A 24,595-nucleotide genomic window follows, 5' to 3' on the forward strand; every position below is an offset into this window, starting at 1 on the left:
TTATACTGCTAAGTTCAAGTGCTGATTAGCTTAAATTAAAAAATTAAACAACAAGAAATATCCACACATTTTAAAAGCAATCAAACTTCTATTAGAAAACTTGAAAAACATTACTCCTATCTTTTCAAATTGATGTTTCCAAATGTTCATTCCAATGAATATTTTAAGATCATGTTCTGTAGTTTTCTGAAAAAGATGTAGTCAATTTATACTACACAATCATATATAAGTAATACACACTAAAAATATTTCATTAAAATATTCTGAACTGATTTGGTTGCTGTTCACCTGGAGTTCTCAGTGCCACAGGAAAACATCAGTGAAGACAACCAGTCAGTATAAACAGCACTGGACTAAGAAGTAAAATATATTAGAAAAGAATAAACAAGTAAGTTATAAAGCAGTAGTAAAAACAATAATTAACTGATATAAGAACACCTCAGGGAACTTCCTCCATTCCTGCTTTACAAATAGGAGAAACAGAGAGAACTAAACGATCATGTTATTTAACACCTACTGAGTTCCTACAGAGGGATCTACAGAAAAATGTAGGAAGCCACAGGCTAAAAATCTTGACCTGAGCAGTAGGAGCTACACTGAAAATTCTAATAAGGGCAGAACAAGGGAACACCTGGACAGTTATTTAATTAAGGGTCTCAGCATGAGTCATAAAAGAGATATCAGGATGAGAAATTATTCCAAGATTTAATTGTAAAGGCTGACTGTCAAAAATGCCAGACATTACAACTCATCTATATTTGGACTTTTTATTTTGCAACATGTGTACTTGAATATGGAATACTGAATACGACAAAAACCAACAAAAAAGTTGGCTAAGATCTCCTACTGAAAATAGCTGGACAAAATGCCAATTAGGTAAAGGGACTGCTTCAGATACCAAATTAGTACTTTAAGTGCAGTAACTACCTGGAACACTGAGTATGATTAACAAAATGAAGCAAGGATCGAAGGTAAAATCCTTGTTATTCATCAATGAGATAGAATATTGCAGTAAACTATGACCTCATGCTACTGATTTTTTTTTTAAAATACAGAAGGGCATGATATTAACCTCAAGAAAAGTAATAACATAATTCAGAATACACTGGCCCAGCTAGTTTGAATCAAGATCCCAGCAGGTTCTCCAATAATCAAGGGAAACAAGAGTCTACCGTAGGATAGGCATAACTCTGTGATCAGTGTTTCTAAGGATTAGTCACTAGACAGCCAGTTCCTTATTCTAGGGCTTTCTAGAAGTCACACACCTATATTTCTATTTGGAAAGGGAAACCATTTTCCTTGCCTATCTCAAATAGCTGTTCATTGAGTTAACCATCAAGTATCTAAAAGAATGTCGGAAATCAGACCATCACCTTTCCTCCCCAGATCATTGTAATTATGATCTATATATTTTTACATTGCCATAAGAAAAAGGGATTTTCTACACCATGTCATAATTATTCAGGAACAAGTTTTTCTTCCTTTTTAGACTGTAAGCTCCTTGAAGACAAACTATCACTCATTAATCTCTCTATTCCCTTTAGCATCTAGAAGGAATACAATTAATATTTGTTAAGGAACAAATTATTAACAGCCTTTTTCCAGATTTTTCTCATAATTGGTCCAATTAGTCCTAACAAGTAAATTAAAAGTAAGTTCTCTCTACAGTACTATTACATGGTAAAATACAAAACAGAAAGTGGTCAGTGGCAATAAAAAATACCATCTGTATGCTACCTGGGAGACCATTAGGTTCCCAGTAAGTAGTGTTAGGCAAAAGGCAAAAAGAAAAAAGATAAGGGTTATTTTGCTTACATATCACATCAGAGAATAATGCTTAGGCCACCATCTAGTCCATATTTCTTACATTCAATTATAGAATTGTGCACAACATCCTTGAAAACAGCCTTATTGGTGCTGTTTATAAGACAGGGGTACATCTGCAGAGTTTTAAATTCCATTTTCAAGGAGGAAAGTATCTAAGTATAATCAGACGAGAGTAATAAAATACACTGACCTGGATCTGTTGCTGCAGGAGATTAATTTTGTGCTGCTGTTGCAGAAGTTGCTGCTGTTGTCTCGCAATCTATCAGAAATAAAGTTTCATTAAGTTAAAATGAAATGCTTACACCTCTGCCATTACCTCAGGTATTTCTCCTGGTATTACAACAATCTTTTACCGCACCTCTATGTGAAAGAGTTCCTATAAAATGAGAGAGGCCAAATCAGAAAGATGGATGAAAGGAAAAATTTTTAAACAAGTGCCACCTCTCTGCTTTATCTGTAGGAAAACTACCCCTTCTATTATATTTGTGAGCTATTCACCTATATCTGCACTGGTCAGCTGGAAATCATGGGATTTTAGAAATCGAATCCTTGTAGAATAGAGATAGAAAAATCTCTGGCTACATTTTTCTAAATGGCTTAATTTGGATGTAAAAAGTAAAATCTGTAAGCAAAGACAGGAAAAATCTTCGTATTATTGCTTAATATGGTCTATGTTGGCAAAACCTTTCCTGATACAAAGATTTTCAGAACTGATACATTTACAAATATTGTTAAAGGAGTGCCAAAGGACACAGCAAAAAGTAAAAAATCTTTAGCTTTTTTTGTTGATGCTGTATGTGATGTACAAAATATTTTTAAAAACAAATTAAGCTGTAATTTAACATTTATCCATTTATCCTTTTGAGAACAATGTGTTTATTTCATAGTACAGGATCTATATACAAATTTTATATTTCCTTGTTTCATCCAACAATCAAATTCAACATCTAAACACATTATCTGGTCTATAAAAAGAAATGTTAACCATTTAATGCAAGCCCTACTGATGACTGTCTCTGGCCCTCAGGAGGTCAAATAGCTTCCTTAGGATAATAGTGTTTACTATGAAGTATGAGTCAGGCATCAGGCCACTATTGACTCAAAAGCTGAGCTGCTACAGCTCGAAGTCCAGAGAGATGATCCTTAGTGAGAACACACTCACTGCCAACCTAGGAAGCCAGAGAGAAAAGCAGCCAGAGAGCACTCAGGACTTTGTTTAGTAGTGCCTTTTTGTCAAGAGTGTCTTTTCTTCCTATTTCTTCCTACTTCCAAAGCCAGTATTCTAGAATGGGTTATGTTGGAAGTGAAAATGAGTGTAAATCAGTTCCAAGCTATATACTTCCCAAGCCTTTTTAATGTTTTAGCCTATGCAGGGGGTAGTGCCCAAATTATATTTCATTCAGCACAAGATGACAAAATAGCAGTCTGCTTCTAAATGTTGCTTTCTGATTTTGGATGACAACTGGTTCCTACTGGAAGCCATGATAAAGCTGCCCCTAATGTAGACTACAGTGTGAGAAATGAGACTCCTCCTTGTCAGAGCTTTATACTTAAAGTGGAAATAGTATTTAATCAGGTTGGGATGGCCCACTCTGCTTGTGGATATTCAAATCAGAAATGTACAACTCATTCTGCAGCTCTAGGTATAGATGCTGGATCCTCTGAATATTTATTTCTTCTTAGCAAACCAGTGAAATGCCACTAGGCATCTAATATTGATGGTCCCTCCTAAATGATAAAGTGCTGCATAGAAATGCATCCAAAACACCACAGTGCAATTACTATCATCCACTCTAGACGTATGGGTTTGACACAGTGAAGTATGGTACATAAGCGCCATGTGGCTCAAATTCTGAATTTTATTTGCCAATAGGTTGAGCTACATGCTCGCTTCATTGAGCATGACAACCTAGTTTTAAGTGTCATTTAATTTTCATTTTGAAATATAATTACAAAGTGTTCACTGTAAGATATCACTCGTCTGCAAATGTGTCAAGATTAATTTGTGCTAGCTTATTCACAAGTGTCAATAGTTAATTACTGTGTCATCTCTGGATGGCTAAATGACATTCTAACTTCTGATTTTTTACAGTGTTCCTTTATGTTATTTTCCATTAGGGGCTGAGTCCATATTCCTACATGTGGGCAAATATTCAAGCATATAAAATACCAGACATCACAACTCATTAAAATCAACAGAGCATATATTGCTCTATATACTCCTATAAAATACATTTAACTGAAAAGATAATTCCAGTAATAATGTCAGATTCCTAAAAACTGCACATTAATTTAGATCTGTCTGATCTAAAGCATCAGGGACTACTCTATAGGATCATTGTTAGATTAATGTACTCTTATGAGACAAGAAAAAACATTTGGGAAAGTGATTTATTTTTAAAAGACATACATTTAAACTTTGCTATTTTTTCTTCATTCTCAATTCTAAGTCAATCAGGTCAAATACTTTTAGGAACGATGTACTAATTTGTATTCAATGACTTACCTATGCTATAAATAGTGACCATGTGATGTATCATCCAAACCAAGAAAACTTTCACAAGTAAAAGGAGGCAGGGTATTATTACTCTAGAAAACAGGCATTATACCAGGGCTATCTGGGGAAAACTGAAATGTATGGTCACCTCTTTGGACTTTAAACCTGAAGAAAATCATTGCACCAATGAGCTAAAAGATTCCCAAAGTTTTTCTGGAACAGAACCCCCTTTTTCTGGGAGGAAAATAAGGCCCAGAGAAAAGTCACTTACTCATAGTGAAGCTACAGAGGGATTATATGTGATGTCTATATGAATAAGCATCCCCAAATCATTAATCAAATCCAAACCTGAAACAATGTATCATTTTAGTTATGCCCAGTTGCTATGATGCCTTTTTTGTACACATATTCCCTCAAAATTCTTGAAGACCCTAGATTTCCAGAAGGCTTTGTTTTTTTTTTCCATCTTTTCTTATTTTTATTTTTATTTTTTAGGAAAGCTTACAACAAATAAGCCAATCAATTTGATTACTCTCTGAGCCTGGCACATTCCACATCTCCAGTTCGTCAGTGCCTTTTGCAGGGCTCACCTGTTCTTGCTGTTGGCGAGCAAGGTCCATTTGCTGCCGTTGTTTCTCAATTTGTGACGCTGCCAGTTTTTTCTGTTCATCATGCGCTGCCAGTAGCTGCTCCCGTAAACTGATCAGCTGGGTAATCATGGTGGAGAGCTGCCGTTCTTTTTCTGCCAGGCTCTCAGGTGTACCTAAAATGGAAGCAAGAAGAGATCTCACAAGCTTGAGAAATACCTGGACGAATAAGGGAAAGGAGGGCAGAATTTAGAAAGGGACTATCCTAAGACATTTAAAGATCTGGGACAATGACTGGAGGCCATTGAGGGTACAGGAACACCAGAGAGTAATTACAGCAGTGGAATGAAAGCTAGGGTTCCTCACTGTTCCTGCCAAGAGAAAGTATTGTCACTGGTAAAATTCTCACTCACTCTCCCCTCTTGCTCTAAAAAAAGCAGACTTACCCCATTTTCTCCTTTTTGCCCCCAATCTATCTGATTAAGCTAGGAAATCCATGATATTTAATATGAAAGATCAGAAACTATAGATTATATTAATATTCTATAATCACCTCTAAGCTCAGTGACTAACAGTATCTAAGACATAGTAGGTGCTTAATAAAAGTTACTTGAGGAAGTTTCTGATCCTTACCCTCACAAAATTTTCTATTGTACAAAGATATGTCACTGAAGTTTAGAAGTTAGCAGTCAATCTCTTGGCCATAGAGAGAATACTACAGAGAGAATTAAAACTGCCTCAGGTGAGAAAAGATTGAATGTGATTTTTTTTTTTCCTGAGAAAGGATCAAGTAAAATTCCCAAGTTCATCTGTAAAGGCAACAGTGTTGCTTGGGGGGCTCTATCACCCCTTTGTCATTTGTCATTTTTCAAAGAGAAAAAAACACATTCAAGGTTGAAAAGGTTATGCATAAGGATATGCTGTTTAATGAATATGATGTCGCTGAACACTTATGGTATGCACTAATGGTGCTGAACAGTCTTTTTATGGGCAAATTGCACAGCTCTCCTAAGTAAACGGTACAGAATCCTTTTGTGAATCTAAATTAGAGCATTTTACCGCAGCATAAGATAAGAATTTCAACCCACTGTATCTGAACCACACAGATTTCATTATGAAGAAATGATCTGTGATTTGAAAGCTTTTCAGAAAAATGCCACCAGCTGTCAAAGGGGACAAAGATTGCCAATTTTTGTGTGTGCAGAAGGAGAGACTTCCAACCTCCTTATGAAACCCCCTCATTCCTACTAAGAAAGCACCATTACAATCCCAGAAAATATTTTAATTATGAGTGGCCTTATTTTTAAAGTAGCCCAAAGGAGAAAGAGAAACTTCAGAGGATGCAGGCTAGCACTTGTTAGTATATGATTTCTGAAAGGTAGGACTGACATCAACAGAGAAGCTACCACATTTAGGACTATCGTGGGATTCTTAATGTCAACTCAGGTCCAAAAAAAAAAAAAAAAAGAAAAGCTGTCAGTATCTCTTATATCCTCAGATTTACTGAGCTCAATGATGGCCTAAAATCAAAATTAAAGGAAAAATAAAGTTGTTAGAAAGTGTATTCCACTGATAAGGAAACAAATACTGTATCAAGGCTAGTCGCCAGCTACTCCTTCTAGATCCTGGAATTTATTAAAAGAAAATGGGTTTTTACTTCAGCAATGGGAATTTCATCTTGGTAAAAGGAAGAATTTATTGATCCAGAACTTCCAAAATACAAAAGCAGGTTCCCAAAAAGAATCATAAGATCCATAAGATCTCTTGAAAAGGACAAAAAGTTCAACTAATGTATTTGTTAATATATACAGGAATGAGAAAATACAACACAAGAATGATATTTTTTAAATTTACATATTGAATAAATTTTTAATTCAATAAACATTTTCTGAATTGCCACTATGTATCAGGTACTATAACAAGAACTAAGGACAGCATGGCAAGTAGAAGCAGACACAGTCCCTATTCTTAGGCATTTTGTAGTTCAAAATTTGAAGAGATAGGCTGGGCACGGTGGCTCATGTCTGTATCCTAGCACTTTGGGAGGCTGAGGCAGGTGGCTCGCCTTAGGTCAGGAGTTCAAGACCAGCCTGACCAATACGGTGAATCCCCTTCTCTACTAAAAATACAAAAATTAGCTGGGCATAGGGGTGGGTACCTGTAGTCCCAGCTACTTGGGAGGCTGAGGCAGGAGAATAGCTTGAACCTGGGAAGCAGAGGTTGCAGTGAGCCAAGGCCATGCCACTGCACTCCAGCCTGGGTGTAGGAGTGAGACTCCATCTCAAAAACAAACAAACAAAAAAATTGAAGAGACACCTTAATCATGTAATCAAACATGTAAATGTAAACTACAACTACATAGGAATACAAATAAGACAAATGTTCTGTGGGAGTTTAACCAAATTTGGGTGCCCAAGTTCAGGGAAAGTAATCTGAAAAAGCAACAAATTAACAGAAGGATAAATAGGAGTTAACTAGACGAAGAGTTGGAGCATGGTTTGAAGGAGCTTTCCAGAAAACGTGAAATTGCAATGACAAGGAAACTACAACTGAAGAAAGGGTTGCAAGAGGGTGGTTGGTGGTCAAGGAGCTTTTCCAAAAAAGAAAACGCTATAGGCAAAGGTCATGTGTGTGTGCATGTGTGTGTGTGTGTGTGTGTGTACACATATGTTGGGGATGGGGGGCAGTTTGGTGTGTTCCAGAAATTGAAAGAAGTTAGTGAAACTTGAGCAAGGAAAATAAACAGGAATAGAGCATTAGATTAGGCTAGAGAGCTAGTAAGAGGGCATACCATTCAGCCCCTTATAGACCATGTGTGATGATCTACCTATTTATTCTAAGAATGATTCCTAATCACTAAAGTATTTTACGAAATGAGTGATATGGTCATTTTGGTTGCAGTGTGGTGAATAGATTGGAAAGACATGAGATAAATGGGATGTATACGTATTTTATTATTATATTTTGTGCAATATTCTAACATACGTGTAATTGTATCATAATACCTGTCTATATGATATAAGTTAAGAGAAGGTTTATTGGATATAGTGATAGTTACTGTACTATAATTTTTTGTTAATAAAGAAGAGCTTACACAGGAAATTTTGGGCAAGGACCAATACCAGAGTTGGATCTAGTATTTAGATTCCCCAATAAATACTGGAAATTTTTCTCTTCTTCCATCTTAAACAATCTTTCAATCATCTTCAACTTACTCCCCTTTCTCCTCTGCATAGGCACAGAGAGGCTAAAGATAATACCTAAGTGACTTCTTAGCCTCTTCTGTTCACAGTGAAGCCAAAAGATTTATAAATGCATTGGTGCTTCCAGGGTTAATAGATATATATAAGTATAACTGAATTTATGGAATAACACCATTTAGCTGAATCCAATTGTAAACAGTCAGTGGCATCTAAATTTTTTCTTTGGACTTAAAAGATACACGTTTAAGAAGAAAATGCAGAAAGCAGTATTTTTAAAATGAGAATTTAAACACTCATATAAGGCTGTCACTATTTTTTCCTTAAACTTGAGGAGTACATACAGTCAACCCCCGCTATCTATAGGTTGCACATCCACTTATTCAACCAAGCACAGACTCAGCCAATCTCGAACTGAAAATATTTTTAAAATAATAACAACACAATAAAAAATAACACAAATAAAACAACACAATATAACAACTATTCACACAGCATTTACATTGTATTAGGTGTTATAAGTAATCCACAGATGATATGAAGTATGTGAAAGAATGTGCATGGGTTATATGCAAATACCAGGCCATTTTACATAAGGAACTTGAGCATCCTCAGATTTTTTAATGTATATATTTTGAATAGTGGCATTAAAAATGAAGTTGGAGTGAAGCATAGTAGTGTAACAAGTCTGAAATTCCCCCTGTATTGGGGATCATATATATAGCCAAGTAGCCCTTGGGGCTCAAATTAGGGAAAAAACACCATACAATAGCTTATATTCAAAATGTGCAGATTAATTTGTGTGTGTGCGTGGCAGTGGGAGGGGGATGCATTTTTCTGTTCTGTACCCACTGTATTTGTTCGGGTATAATGGTTTGAAGCCAAGCATTTAAGACCTATAATGCAGATTTTCCTGTTTTAATTAACAGCATGTGTTCATGCCACTGTAATAAAAATAACATCAAGTCTAAATCACACTGACCATCCAACCTGTGAATACAAGTTTTTTTATCTTAAAAAAATTAAACATGAAACTTTACCATGGCAAAGGAACTACAATTGTAAGAGCTGCTGAAAGAACAGATAATGATGAGACATAAAGGAGCAACCAAAATATAGTTAAGTTTTGTTAAGGATGGCAAAAGATCTTCGAATGCTCTTATGCATTAACTCTATATAGAAAATAGTATATTGGCCAGGCACAGAGGCTCATGCCTGTAATCCCAACACTTTGAGAGGCCGAGGTGGGGGGATCGCTTGAAGCCCAGAGTTTGAGAACTACATGGGCAACATAGTAAGAACCTGTCTCTCCAAAAATTTTTTTGTAAAAAATAAGCTAAGCATAGTAGCACACACCTGTAGTCCCAGCTACACAGAAGGCTGAGGCAGGAGCATTACTCGAGCCCAGGAGTTCAAGACTGCAGTGAGCCATGATTGCGCCACTGCACTCCAGCCTGGGTGGAAGAGACTATCTCTCAAAAACAAAGAAAAGAAAAATCATGTCCTAAATCATGTTTGGAGGTTTGAAAAAATCAACTTGGAAAAAAAGTAAACCAACTTCTGATGATCTGCCCAGGCCAGCAGAGGTCATCAGGAGCTACCTAACATCATCTGTTTCATGTCCTTCAAGCTATCTTAAAATGATTCTCTAAAAAGCACTGCCAGAAAATAGTCTTCTGCCCAGCTCCCACATAAAAACAGAGGTAGTTTCACAAACCACAAAAAGGGAACCAGCAAAAACACTTCTGTACACAGCTTCTCTACAAGTCAGCATGCCTTTTATCCAACATCACACAGTGTGCGCCTGACACTCTCTACTATAAACTGTATCTGTTCTCCAACTCCAAAGACAGTGCAGCAGGGTTTTTTTTTTCTTTTTTTTCTTTTTTTTTCTTTTTTTTTGTTCCATGGGGTCGTCTTTATCCCCAAACCACATCTGTCTTGAGTTTCTCTCAGATTAGTCAGGTGGATCAGTGCTCCCCAGGGCCTGCTCCAGCTGAAGTATTTTAATTTGACTAAACACCTGATTTATTTTATCTCTCCGATGAGAAAGGCAGTTTGTCTTAATAGAGCCTGTCAGCCCACAGCCCCATTCACAGCAATTTACAGGCAGCCAGGGACGCTGGAAGAGAAGAGTGCCGTGATTCTGTATTTTATCCTCCTCCAGAAAGCACCTAAAAGCAGCTATTCACTGCTACTGCATGTGGCATTTTAGAACTGAATTAGCTTTTTATTCAAGTAACTACACTTGTTGTGAATAGCTTATCTGTAAAATTGCTACATTCACTACTGATTTTATTAACCTTTGGCTCTATCACAAAATGGTCTTCAGTTAGGAAAGACCTTTAAAATTGACACATTTTTTTTTCTTAGGGGCCTTTATTCCAGTGACTTCAGATTTACTGAATTTGATCCATTGAATTCTTTACCAGTTGTACTTAAAATTTTGAGTCTCAATAGGAAGTCAATAATGCGTAAATAAGGAAACACTTTTCAAAATATAAATATGATGACAATTTCCCCCATCAAAAGTTTTCAAATACCATCTTTCATTATAACAGTTTCAAAATCAGCCCTCTAGCCTTTTTTGGTCACAATCTGAAGAACTTGAAAAAAAATAACTGAAATGTACTATTTTTTTTTTAACTTTACAAACTATTACTACCTGTCCCCAGGCCCAAAGCCACAGAGAAGATTCAAAACAGATGAGAATTTAGGTAAAATGAGATAAATAAGGCAATTCTCTTATTGATATAGCATGAAAAATTAAAATAAAAAATTAAGTTTAAAATGTATTTAAAAGCCTTTTTTTACATCAGTTCACAAAAGTTAGCACTACAGTCTGCTAATTTTGCCCTTATGAAATATATATAATCAAAATCAGTGGTGCTAGAAATAAGACTGGTCATTGGGAAGTCACTGAAGACCAGATCTGGATAAGGCAGGCAACTTGCAGGGCACTTTACTAAATGGAGATTTACCTCACCTCTTCCACAGTATTCCCATACCTAGAACTTTTACAATATAAAAATCTTAAACAGGTCATTCATTAAATAGATATTCTCTGAAAGGGAGTCACCACTATGTGATGACAACTAAGTTTTTCTAATGAGAAAATCTAGAAACAACACAGCAACGGAGAAAGAGAAAAAGAGTTAAGAGAGGAAAAGAGAGAAAATGAGTACGAGAACAGCTAAATTAAATTTTGTGCATTTCTCCACATCCTTTCTATCTCTAATAAAATGGGCTAGGCATGGTGGCTCACAATTGCAATCCTAGCAATTTGGGAGGCTAAGGTGGCAGCATCTCTTGAGACCAGGAGGTTGATGCTGCAGTGAGCTATGATTGCATCGCTGCACCCCAGTCTGGGCGACAGGGTGAGATCCTGTCTTTAAAAAAAAAATAAAAATAAATGAAGGGCAATGGTGTTAACATACCAAGCCAAATAAAATTAATAGTCAACTAATGGCATTCTCTAGAAACATGTCCCAGGGAATTTAAAATGAGATTTAAACCTAGACATTCTCCTGTATTAGATCAATGCACACATTAATAAACTTAATCGGACTTAATGAAATTATAAGAAACCTGGGTAACTAACAAATGTCTGTGTTTAGAGTAGTGGGTAGGGGTGGCACTGACACTGGAGTGGAGTTCTGATGAAGATACACTTTTTCACATAAATCCTAGAAAGATTAAAGCACTTAACAGTAATTCCAAAGCAACATCAATCAAGGAACTCAGCCAACAATCCAGAAAGATTGTAAATTAAGTTGAAAACAAAAGCTCTTAAGAATCAATTCCCTGGTCAGTTCTAATTTTTTTAATGGATATCGTTTTAGAAGAAAGCCAAAATAACAATGCTAGTCATAAAAGAAAGCTGCATTGCTCTTTTCTACCCACAGATAACCTGGGAAAACTGCTGCATCTTTACACTGCAGCCTCCTCACACATCTGATGGACTGTGATGTCTCCACTTCACAAGCTCAGTCCATCATTTAGCATTGGCCGTTTTGGATACAGCCTTCTTTTAAATGTCACAAAACATAGCAACAAAAAGTCAACAAAAAATAAACAGGGTAAGCTGAAGAGACTAACAATCTATCAGAAGGTCCCCTGATAAAAGTTACTTTGTGGTGACTGCCTGAGAAAGGAACCCCTGTCCCAGCATACCAGCAGCTAATTTGAGTTCTGAATCCAATAGCAGTTTTAAAAGCTTTCCACACTAAATGGCCCTAGTGCATCATAAAGATAAAGGATTTCAGTACAAAACCACCACAAAGACCTCTATTATCTTATCAGTCTTTGGTTACAACAGCTGAACCAATATGACTAAATTCTGAATGACTTTTTTCAAAACAGCAGAATACTGGAATTTCTTTGTTTTCTCATCAGTCAGCTATTGTCATTGCTCCCATATGCTACTGTCCATTCCTCAGTAAATAAAAAGTTTAATAAATGCAGCAATTGTGCTCTTAGGAATCACTTAGGGACCACTTCACAGGAAGTGTGCCTCATGAGTTGAGGTATAGGCTGTTTGTTACTGTTGTTGTTGTTTTCTTTTTCACTGAATGTATGAGAATTTCCTTCTTGATATTCACCTTTAAAATGTCATTAGAATCTACAGTGTACTAACAAGGCAAAAATACCCAGGTATTTCCTAAATTAAGATCAAACTCTCCTATACCAGGCACACTCAAGTCTCCTACTTCCCCTCTTCCTGGCTGCAAAAGGAAGTCTATTCCTGGATCAACTGAGGTCTATTCATGTCGCAAATCCTAACAGAGCAAGAACAATCCATGGAATCCTGCCATCTAGGCTCCCAACCTCACAGCTGGGCTTTTAGCCCATTGTGCTTTATAAGCCCATCCTTTTTGGATCTGGAAACGAAGGTATTCTGAAACTTCTCTCCTTCAATATAAGACAGACTGTCTTTACATTACTGTTCTCTGTGGGTGACTGCCAGTCACTGGCTACATCTCCATAACCTACACATAAAAATAGTAATTTCTGGCCTTTCAGAAACATGAAATTCTTTTGTCCTTTAAAGGGGAAAAACAATTAAATCATTTGTGTCAATATCACCACCAAGTATTGCAGGATTGGCTCTTTCTCTAGAAGCTCCATGAGCGTTAGGAGAGGAAGGGAAGGAGTAAGAAAAATAGACTTTATTAACAAGGCATTTTCTTAAAAATTCTTGTTATCTTAATCCTCATCCAAAAAGTTACATTGTTATTTTCATTTCACAGATGAAAAACTAAGCTATTGAGACAGAAAGTAATTTGACCAAGTCATAGAGCATTTAATTGAATTTGAATTCACATCTTCTGATTTTTAATCCAAGCGAGTCTAGAGTCTAAGAAAGAGGTATCTTCCCTCATCTCACACTTAGAATACATAGTTAGGGAATTTCTAAAAGTTAGGAGCAATGTTCTGAGGTACCAAGAATCCTAATGCTATTTACAGCTAAGAGATATACAACTAAAAGGAATGAAGAAATGTACAACTTCTCAGTTAAGGCTTTGTTTACAAAATAAGGCAAAAAGCTTGGCTAGCAATCAGACAACCAAAGAGGTCAATAAATTGAACTTTGACATCTTATGGATGTGAAAACAGATCTTGACATTAAGTGACATGTCTGAATTACTCTAGAAATTAGCAGCAAGCCTGGCAGACCAGATTCTCTGTATGCTTATTCCCCAACCCTTCTCTTCCCAAATAGCATATGGCTTCCTGGTTTCAGGCCCAAATACAGTAATTATGCAGACTCCGACATTCTCTGGCATTCTCCGGCATTCTCCAGCATTCCAGATACAATATTTACAACACCCATGAAAGTATGAGAAATACACTCAAATATTTGCAGGAGTCCAGTGTCCTGCTGCCCCGGGTGCAGTGTATATGTAGGCTGAGGCTGTCAGGTTCTAGCCAAGAGAAAGGTATGTGGAGAAGTCTAGGAAGTGAGTCTAGCATGATTTGAGAAACCTCCCAGATACAACTAAGGCTTGGGACAGTTGCCCATACAAACATACCACATACTGTGCCCATTTCTAGGGTGTATTTACAATTTGCCTAGAGGAAATCAAGGGAATCTCTGCTCTAGCCCACTATGCCCCTTCATACAATAATAATAGCTTAAACTTATACTACAATTGCTTTGCACTGGGAAAAGCTTTATATATTAAGTCATCTATTCCTCACAACAGTCCTATGAAGTAGGTCATATTGTTACCTCCACTTTAAAGACAAGGAAACTGAAGCATGCAAAAGTAACGCAGCTTGCCCAAATCCTTAGCTATTAAATCATATATCTGAGATTCAAAATCAGAAAGTCTGGCAACAGATTCTGTCCTCTTAACCACTATGATAAATGGAGAATGGAACTCCTGAATGTCCTACCTTCTCAAAATTACTTTACCCAACAGACAATGTAGCTGAGATTTTCCTTATAATCTATTTTTAAGGATGTTTTATTTTGTTGGAATATAATATTTCCTAAATATACTGTTTACTAAAGTGAAAGCACTTATCTAGGGAATTATCTATGACACTCTATTTTCTTTAAAATATCCCAGCGACTAGTACAATGTCCTGTGACCTTTCAGTCCAAGTCACAAATATCCAACACAGCTTGTAGTCATCTAATTTACTCTCCTCTTCCATACTCACTGTCATACTCTTTTTTTTTCTTACTCTGATCTTGTTCCCTCCAAGTTCACTGGTGCTCAGACTTCTACCTTGATTCCTAATTTTCATTCCACTGGACCTCTGGACTTGGACTCTCAAATGGTAGAAATTTGGCTTCCCCAACAGACTGATTTGACTGGTCCTCTGTCTTCTTCTTCTTCTTCTTTTTTTTTTTTTTTTTTTTTGAGATGGAGTCTCACTCTGTTACCCAGGCTGGAGTGCAGTGGTGTGATCTCGGCTCACTGCAGCCTCCACCTCCTGGGTTCAAGTGATTCTCCTGCCTCAGCCTCCCAAGTAGCTGGAACTACAGGTGCCTGCCACCACGCCTGGCTAATTTTTGTATATTTAGTAGAGATGGGGTTTCACCATGTTTCACAGGCTGGTCTTGAACTCCTGACCTCAGGTGATCTGCCCACCTTGTCCTCCCAAAGTGGTGGGATTACAGGCGGGAGCCACCACGCCCAACATCCTCTGGCTTTTTAGTGCCCCATTTTGGCTCCTCTACGAATTCCCCATTCCAGGTCTGTCATGAAACACATCCCTGCCCCCAAATCATTTGATCAGCAAACTAGAGAGTCCAGTTCAGTCATGTTTTTTCTGTGTTGTCTGTAGCTCTCAGGACATCCTAGTGGGTGTGGCTGTTGCAACTACTGAGACTTTAATGAAAACAGGCGCTTAAAAAAACCTTCAATTCCAATGAAACTGACCGACAAGGGAGATTATGTTTTTATATAATCATAGATAGCTCATAGTTTCCTGAATTACAGTGCTGAGTATATATGATCAGGTAACAGGCAAGTAACACAGATCCCACCTATCACAAACTCATATTGTGAGTCTATAGAGGGAAAATGGAACTGGAAATTTCATATTGATTCTAAAAACTGCTGTTTCTTTTATTGTTCTTTTATAGTTAAATATAGCTGGATAAATAGCATGTTCTTTTCATTCACAATGTTGACCTTAATAATGATTCCTGGGTAAAATAGGTGCTGCCAAATATATCTCATCAGTGTATTATGAAAATAAAACTTCTTTCAAGATTATCTAATGTTTCCTATGTAGCATTCACAATATTCAGGGCACAGAAAATAATGGAATGTCAAAGAGAAGAAAAGACAGTTAAAGCCTGGGTCCAGAAATGACCAAGAGTCTCCTGTCACAGGATTATTTTGAACATGCTAAAGTAGAACATGAATAAAATTCTAAAAAGAAATTTCTAAGCCTCTACTTATAAAAATTAAAAGTTAATATACATTTGTTCAACCTATAAAAAATAATTTGTCACAAATAGGATGTCCTATTCTCACACTAGGACATTCGTCACAAATTCTTAGAAAAGCTTAATTCAAGATTTCCTGTTGTTGTTGTTGTTGTTGTTGTTGTTGTTGTTGTTGTTGTTTTGAGATGGCGTTTTGCACTTCTTGCCCAAGCTGGAGTGCAGTGGCTCGATCTTGGCTCACTGCAGCCTCCACCTCCCCAGCTCAAGCAATTCTCCTGCATCAGCCTCCCGAGTAGCTGGGATTACAGGCGCCTGCCACCACGCCCTGCTAATTTTTTTTTCTTTTTTTTTTTTTTTTTGTATTTTTAGTAGAGATGGGGTTTCACCATGTTGGCCAGGCTGGGCTCAAACTCCTGGCCTCAGGTGATCCACCCACCTTGGCCTCCCAAAGTGCCAGCCAATTCAAGATTTTTAAAGATTTAAAATCACTTTATGCAATAATTGTAGATTATAAATTGAGTTTAAGAAGAAGCTTATAAAACTCACTTTCTAACGTAACTTTAAAATGCTCATGGTTTTTCAACTTTCAGATCAATAAAAATAAGGGTTTTTAAATTTTTTAGCTTGAAAGCAAAAACTGGATATGTAATCCTGAGACAAGAAGGAAAAAATACGTTAAATTATGAGCCTCATAAGGAATATAATACCACAACTGGTAGTACTTAAAAACAACCTCAGCAGTGGTGGACATCACCTTTTGAAGAGGCAAACATCTGAAAAGGCGATGAGATTATCACAAAACTTGAATTTAAACGTAATACTTTAAAAGATCATTGCTTGTAAAAAAATTATTATAGCATCAATGGTCCCAGAAGGATTGTAGAGGGAGCAAATACAGATCTCAAGGATGTTTTCCCTACTACACTCTCTTTGCTCCCTACCCAAGTTCAAAGCCTTTGCTGTGAATTAGGTAAGAATCTACTCTAGTGCTACTCATAATTCTACCGAGAAAACTGGTGGAGAGGAAGAACAAATGATAAGCCACAATGTATACTTCCTACGTGTCAGCTCCTTAAGGGGAGGATCTGTGTCACATGCATCTCTGTGACAAGGCACAAACATGACTACATGTCTACTACTGATTTTGTGCTCAGTAAATTTGAAATGAACTAATAACCAACTCTAAATAATTAGTTCTCAGAATAGTTGGTGATAGACGGCCAAAGAAATTAACAAACCAGAAAGAATTGCTTTGAACTACAGGAGTATCTGAGCCATATCTGAGTTAATTCTAGTTTGGTAACCATTGTAACTAACTGAACTCACCAGCCATCCCCACTGTTGCACAAGTGGTAGAAAATCAAATCTAAGAGAAGACAAGAGATAAAGAATTTGAACTAAAAAACATTCAATAAACACTTTTTTTTAGCACAAATGATCGTCCAAACACTTTCTATGTGCTAGGATTAGCATTTCGCATTTTTTCTCTACTGCAACAAACTTGGGAAAATGATGCTGAGGAAGGTTAAAAATATGTCCAAGATCACACAGCTTGTTAGCTTGTAATCAATAGAGCTATGATTCCTAAGCCAGTTGGTCTGAATACCCAACCCCAGCCTCTTTTCAGTAAACTATAAATGTTTCTGGAAAAAAGAGAAATTTTAAAAAAAGTTAACTAGTTTAAGACAATGACTTCACATAGCCTTCAAGCCTTCTTCCTGCATTTTAAAACATTAAAGTACGCTGTTGGGAGATACAGTGATATTAAAAGGCACACTAATTTATATTTAGGATAATTACAATTTAATGTTATTTAAGGTCCGTGAACAGTAAAAGAAGTCTGATGGCTCAGGGAACTAGTCTCCATCAACAGACTTGAAAATTCTGTATTCAGAAAATATTACATCTAGAAATTCAATTTTTAATTGTGTGAAAAATTCAAACAGTTCTAGTAACATAAACTATAATTTAGAAGGCAGAATCAACTACAGGACCAAATAAATTATACAAACTAAGCAATTTTACAGGAAAAATTTCACAAGAATTTATATTATTATATTAACTCTTTCTAACATCACCTTCTTCCAGTAAAATTAAATTATATGTCAATACACTGGTATCAGAAAACAGGTTCTAATTCTTAATTGCCCAAAGAAATGACTGTCCATGGAGTCACAGATGATTGATAAATTAATTCACCTTCCATAATGCCACCAAAGCTTTTGTAGGAGAATGTTTTCAGAAGTTATACTTTAGATAAAAAACAAGCCATTCTTTAGTTGAATCTCAAAAGTTGGAAGAATGACCCTGTGTCACTATTAGTTGGTCCAGATATCAGGTTTCTCAGTTCTTAAATCTGCCTCCTACTCAGTCTTCTCACTCTGTATTTTGTACACCCTTACTAGCCAAGAAGATTTTGGCTAGCTGACTCACTTTCTACAGTTTAAGAAATTTATAGGCATATTGAATACATTTTTACAAGCTATCAGCAACCCCATTTGAGAATCCTGTTCTACTTCTCAAAAACAGTTTTAATTAAATGGGTATTTGTAGCTAGTTTCTTTTATACTTAAGGTTTAAAACAGAGTTGAAAGTTTTTAAAGTGCTCATTGACTTTCTAAAAACAATGCATTCTTTCCATCATACTGACACATCTATAGAATATCTCTTAATCTCTTTCTAAAATGTAAATAGGATCCTGTCTAAATGTTTAAAGTGTTGTGATTCCAAAAGTACTCAATTATCATGCACTGATGAAAAAACTGTTATGTTCTTTGACAAAGAAAATCTACTTGATCACCTTTTTGGCAACAATAATATATAAAATCTTCTAAATTACTTGATTACATCATTTTTATATTAGTTTGTTTACTATTAGCTGGTTCTCCAAACCTATAACAGTTCCAGACATATAGTAGGTCTTAAAAAAAATACAGGCTGGGCGCGATGGCTCCTGCCTGTAATCCCAGCACTTTGGGAGGCTGAGGCAGGTGGATCACCTGAGATCAGGAGTTTGAGACCAGCCTGGCCAACATGTTGAAACTCTGTCTCTACTAAAAATATATACATATATATAAAACTAGCCAGGCATGGTGGTGGGCACCTGTAATCCCAGCTACTAGGGAGGCTGAGGCAGGAGAATTGCTTGAACCCAGGAGACGGAGGTTGCAGTGAGCTGACACGGTGCCATGCACTCCAACCTCGGTGACAGAGTGAGACTCCGTCTCAAAAAAAAAAAAAAAATCCCTTTAAGGATTCCATCATGTGAAGTCATTCATAAAATACATCATCCAACCTACGACATTTTAAATGAAAGGAGGTGCTGTTAATTATTATGTCAAGAACACAGGTATAGAAACCAGGACAATACCAGGTAAGCCAGGATATATGAATACACAATCACAACTTGTTCTCATTTAATGTCAGTTTCTGACAAGGTAATATTACATAAATAGAACCCTATAGTTGATTTTTAAATGTCATAAAAATTTCCTGGAATAAATTTATGTAGCTGGCAAGCTGAAATATGAATGGCACTATTCTTTAGAATAATTAGGCTCAATTCATCACTATTTAAAATATGTAGAAACTCATAATAAACAAATATATAAATGTATATATTATATATTCTATATATAGATAGATATAACTCATTAAAGTAAACCTAACAATGTATAGGTTCTAATAATCTTGGTTTCATAAAGTTTGTTCAAATGCTCCTTATTTGCAAAGTATTTTTTTTTTTTTCTTTTTTTTTTTTTTTGAGACGGAGTCTCGCTCTGTCGCCCAGGCTGGAGTGCAGTGGCGGGATCTCGGCTCACTGCAAGCTCCGCCTCCCGGGTTCACGCCATTCTCCTGCCTCAGCCTCCCAAGTAGCTGGGACTACAGGCGCCCGCCACTACGCCCGGCTAATTTTTTGTATTTTTAGTAGAGACGGGGTTTCACCGTTTTAGCCGGGATGGTCTCGATCTCCTGACCTCGTGATCCGCCCGCCTCGGCCTCCCAAAGTGCTGGGATTACAGGCGTGAGCCACCGCGCCCGGCCTGCAAAGTATTTTTAAGAGAGATTTTTAATTTAAAATTCATAGAAATAATAAATTTATTTTTCATGAAAAGTGACTCCCAATTAAGGATATATGAAGATCATTCCGATTTTTCCCATTTTAGAAGTGAAAAACTTATACTTTCACTACTAATTAACTAAATAACAGAAAAATGCCCATGTAAAAAATGAGAGTATTAAAATATCTAAATTTTACAGCACTATTATGAATTTTAATTTTTATATTAAGCACATGTTCAACTCTTATACGATGAAAATACACACAAAGAAAACATAAACCAATGAAAAATTTTCATTTGCTTCTGAAGATTCTAAGGCCATGTTATTAATATACACATAGTGAAGACATAATGAATTTTATTGTAAAGGAAGACTAGTAGAATGTCCTGTGTAGCATAAAAATCGTAAAGCAAAAACTTTCCCACATTATTTTAAGCAGAAAACTCAACCAAATTTCTGAAATCTAGATAAGACTTCCAATTCAACAAAAGCCATGGAACAAATGGCTGCTGAATAAATTCCACGAAAAAAAGTATTTTTCCCCATTCAACAAGATAGTATTAGAAAATCTACAGCCTACAATTATTCAAGAGATTTTATAATTAAGTTTCTAGAAAATTACTAGCAATGTGGTTTAACCAATTTCTCACTAACATTAAAAAATAATTCCCCAATCATATGAGCAGGAACACAAAAGACAACCACCTATCTCTCCAGAACTGAACTACACTTGAGTTCTAAAATTTTCAAGCTTATACCTAGTCAGTTCTAACTAGAAGTTTCCAAGAATGGCTTTTAAAAAAAGAAGGAATTGGAAGGCTATAAATGAAATATAATTACTAACCTAACACAGAAATAAATGTATTTAATATAGCTAACTACTAAAGACTACTCGTAATTTTAAAACCAATGAATCTAAACCAGATGAAGATAAAAAGGCACTGTGAAAACAAGCAAACACCAAAATACATAGAAAATCTATGACATGACTGGGAAAAAAAAGATTCTGCCATTCGTGGATGTTTCAAGCACTGCTTTATAGGAATCTCTGAGTAAAGTTGTAACTGTTAGTAAATACTAATAAAAGCCACAGAAAAGGTAGTACAATCAGGGTTTCAAAGAAAGGAGAAAAATCTGAAATACTAAAGTGAGCATCAATTAGGAATTCTGAGGACCACAAAAATCCAAAGGCAAGTGATTAAATCACTACAACCCAATGTAACTGAATATAGGTTTGGTGCCCTTCAGGTTTCTTTTCTTTGGAACCAAATTCAGTTAAACAATAACTGTTACCATTTTTATAAAAATTTAGCTTTCTGACATTTTTCTTTAAGCAAAGAGTGAATTAACAAACTCATGGCAGGGAAAAAAAAGGAAGGAGAAAAAGTAACTCAAGCATTACAGCACTCTTCTACATGGCAAGGAGATGAATGAAACAAACAAGACTCTCCCAAGAAGATTCATATTGCAAGTAAGAGTTTTTGGCCAATATATTTCTTGTAGGTAATATACTTTGAATTCAGACAAAACACTTTCAAGGTTTAATTATCAACACAACAAACCAAAGACAAGAGTTCCCAAACATCAGACATGGTTATATCAAACATAAACGCTTAAATCCATTCATGAGCTAAATATAAACATCTGAAGTAGCTACTGTTGGAGTTATCTGTGCAACTAAGAGCACAGGTAATCAAGAATTGCCTACATATACACTTTTGTTCCCTCCATTGGTTCAAATTAATTGAGCAATCAAGAGCAGCTTAGAACACTTAGAGTCAAGAAGAATTCTCTTTGTCAACCCAAATAATTATAAGGCAGAGATCATCAGCAATAGTGAGGTGATACTATTGTTACTATCATTCATGTTATTATCATTATAAAGTAAAAAACCATGGTAGAAATTCTACCGGCATTGCAACTCTACCAAGATAAAAATACAAAGTAAGTAATTTTCAGTATGAAGCTTCTCATCTTAACCTATTTTCTCTGAATTAGTAAAGTGAAAAAAAATATCAAAAAATGGACTTAGCCTAAAACCTTATATCAAAAAGTTTACGTGAGGCAATGCACATGTTAATTAACTAGATTTAGTCAATCCACAATGTATACATACTTCAAAACATCATATTGTACACAAGAGATACATACAATTTTATTGTCAATTAAAAAAAAAACACCACTTTTTAAGTAGCTGTTATCACCACCACCAATTTACATATGATGAAACATACAAAGAGGATACATGATTGACCCAAAATTTAAACTCTAACTTAAAACCTATTTCCCTTTCCACTTCAAAACATCCAATTCTTCTAGGCTAATATCTGAGAATAAATTTTCGTATCTCTAAATTTCATGGTTCTCATTAGTACTAAAGCAACAGTGTGCTTATTTTCCCAACCTAGAGTCCCAGATTGATCCTATAAACTGAAGAACTGGAGACCTGGAGGAAGGGAGAGGACATGTGGGGGTGTGGTGTGTGTAGTATGCCTGGTATGTGTATATCTATACAGTTCCAAAAGTGTTTTCCAATTTGAACTTCAACAATTGTTACAAAGGTCACTGCATAGCTGAGCTTTTTAGCGGGGAAGAGAAACATTAAGAAAGAAAAAGAAAGAAAGAAAAAAAACAACTTTACTTTCCCCAATCAGCCCAGCTTATTTGTTCTCTACTATATTTCTGACCCCTGGTTCAACCGTGATTAATCTATATCTGGAGGTGATTTTTTAAAAAATCTATCTTATCTATTAAAAACTAAATTGAATTGTCTTTTTAAGAGTACACTTATTCAAACAATTACACACTCAGGAAATCAATGTTGTAAAGAGTCAAAGAGATCATTCAACCCCCAAGTTTGACAAATAAGAAAGCTGAAAGCCAGAGGGGAAAGTGACATGCCTGATGTCAGATAGCTAATTAGCTAGTGACAGAGTTAGGACTAGAACCTAGAAGTCCTAATTCTCAGTTCAGAACTCCTTCTGCTATAACATGCTTCCTCTTTTTAAAAAAAAATCAAGGGAAATAATGCACTTTAAATCTCTCTTGGTAGATAGTTGATTTTCGTTATCATTTTCCTCAGTTCACTTAAGAAGCAACATTGGTTCTTAATTCAGCACTTTAATTTTCCATGTCTAACATGTAATTTAACAATGAAATGCTCATCTAATAGCAGAAGCAATTTATAGGAAAGTATTTTGTGAGACACAACTTGTCTAATGATACTAAGAATTCCACGATAGAACCAGCATATGAGTTTTCATATGTGCTAGTTAAGGGAGGAGATTAACCATAGTTTAAATGATATTTTTTTCAGAAATAGCAAATTGAGATCTTCTATAGGGAAAACAGTTACATATGGGCTTTGAAAGACTTCAATGCCCATCACTGATCAAATTTAACCACTGACATATGGGCCACAAGAATCCTTGCATTTCATTTGCCCATGTATTTGAAAACTTGAGTGCTCAAGGGATTCCCCAGATCCTAATTTCCTTTTAATAAGAGTAAGAGCTTATGTAAAATATGGTAGTCTAAGTTCTTTGGAAACAAGGTATCAAAATAACAAGAAATTATAATTTTAAAAAATCAGTGCCATACTGGGAGTGTAGAAAAATAGAAATGCAGAGTTATGAAGATTTAACAGCCAAAATGAGGCCAGATAAATCACGTAAGTATATAGTTATTAAGCATTTGTTGGTATATAGAAAATGACAGAGAAGTAGAAAAAAATTAAACTCAAAAAATAGTACTATGCTCATCTTACAATTTATAAGTTGTTTAATAAGAGCTATTAAAGTACATAAAATATTTCATTAACTATGAAGTTACAGAGTGGAAGGTTTCTGGAATGTAAGTCAGGAGATCTGGGTTCTAGTTTCAATTTTGCCACCTTGTACAAGTAATTCTCTGGGCTTCCATTTACCTGCCTGTAATATGAGAGGTTGAACTAGGTAACCTATAAGGATACTTCTAGTTTGGGTTACAATGCTAGAAATAGTCCTTTAGTGTGGGCTCTCTGCAATATTAAAAATGTATGGAAGTAATTCAATTTTTACTATGCCTGTAAAGATCATTAATATTTTGGTAGCATTAGAAAAAAAAAACACTTATGTTACTGAGAATGGCAAATGTATGTATGTTGTATATATACACACATATACACATTTATTAGGTTAATATTATGTGTTAATGTACAACTAGCATTAACTTTTCAGATGCGATATTTTTGTTAATTTTAAGAGTATTCTGCATTATAAAGGTCAATTTCTTTTACATTATAACTAATGTCAGTTTGGCCAACAAACTCACTAATTCACAAAATACATTTTTATCTCTTTATATTTACAAAAGACCTCTGTTGGAATAAAAACAGAATACAGAAGGTGAACTTACATCATTCTGTATATGAGGAAATATAACTTTTAATTCTTTGATTTGTTACAGTTTCATATGTAAATTTAGTGAGTTTTGTTTGCATATTGTAATAATAATCAGACTGAGGAAGAAGTAT

The 24,595-nt window shown here is 35.7% G+C and overlaps 1 protein-coding gene across 6 annotated transcripts in view, besides 2 other annotated features; it reads right to left on the reverse strand.

Annotated features, from left to right (window-relative positions):
• Positions 1 to 24,595, reverse strand: part of SOX6 (SRY-box transcription factor 6) — a 772,029-nt gene that overhangs the window by 215,420 nt on the left and 532,014 nt on the right. For all 6 annotated transcript variants that reach the window (NM_001367872.1, NM_033326.3, NM_001145811.2 and 3 more), the window contains 2 exons: positions 4,915 to 5,087; positions 2,018 to 2,086 (listed from right to left, as the gene is read on the reverse strand). In NM_001367872.1, coding sequence (NP_001354801.1) covers positions 2,018 to 2,086; positions 4,915 to 5,087 — 242 coding nt within the window. The remainder of the gene's footprint in view (positions 1 to 2,017; positions 2,087 to 4,914; positions 5,088 to 24,595) is intronic.
• Positions 7,474 to 7,618: an enhancer, noted in NCBI's record as "145 bp 11:16210951 sequence used in MPRA reporter constructs". NCBI's record gives its function as "activates a minimal TATA-containing promoter with 11:16210951 allelic activity by MPRAs in C283T melanocytes {active_cell/tissue: C283T}" and the evidence as "EXISTENCE:reporter gene assay evidence [ECO:0000049][PMID:36423637]".
• Position 7,537: a transcriptional cis regulatory region, noted in NCBI's record as "11:16210951 MPRA-significant variant associated with a GWAS melanoma risk locus at 11p15.2". NCBI's record gives its function as "allelic transcriptional activity by MPRAs in C283T melanocytes {active_cell/tissue: C283T}" and the evidence as "EXISTENCE:reporter gene assay evidence [ECO:0000049][PMID:36423637]".

This window comes from Homo sapiens, chromosome 11, assembly GCF_000001405.40.
Source record: "Homo sapiens chromosome 11, GRCh38.p14 Primary Assembly".
NCBI lineage: Eukaryota > Metazoa > Chordata > Mammalia > Primates > Hominidae > Homo > Homo sapiens.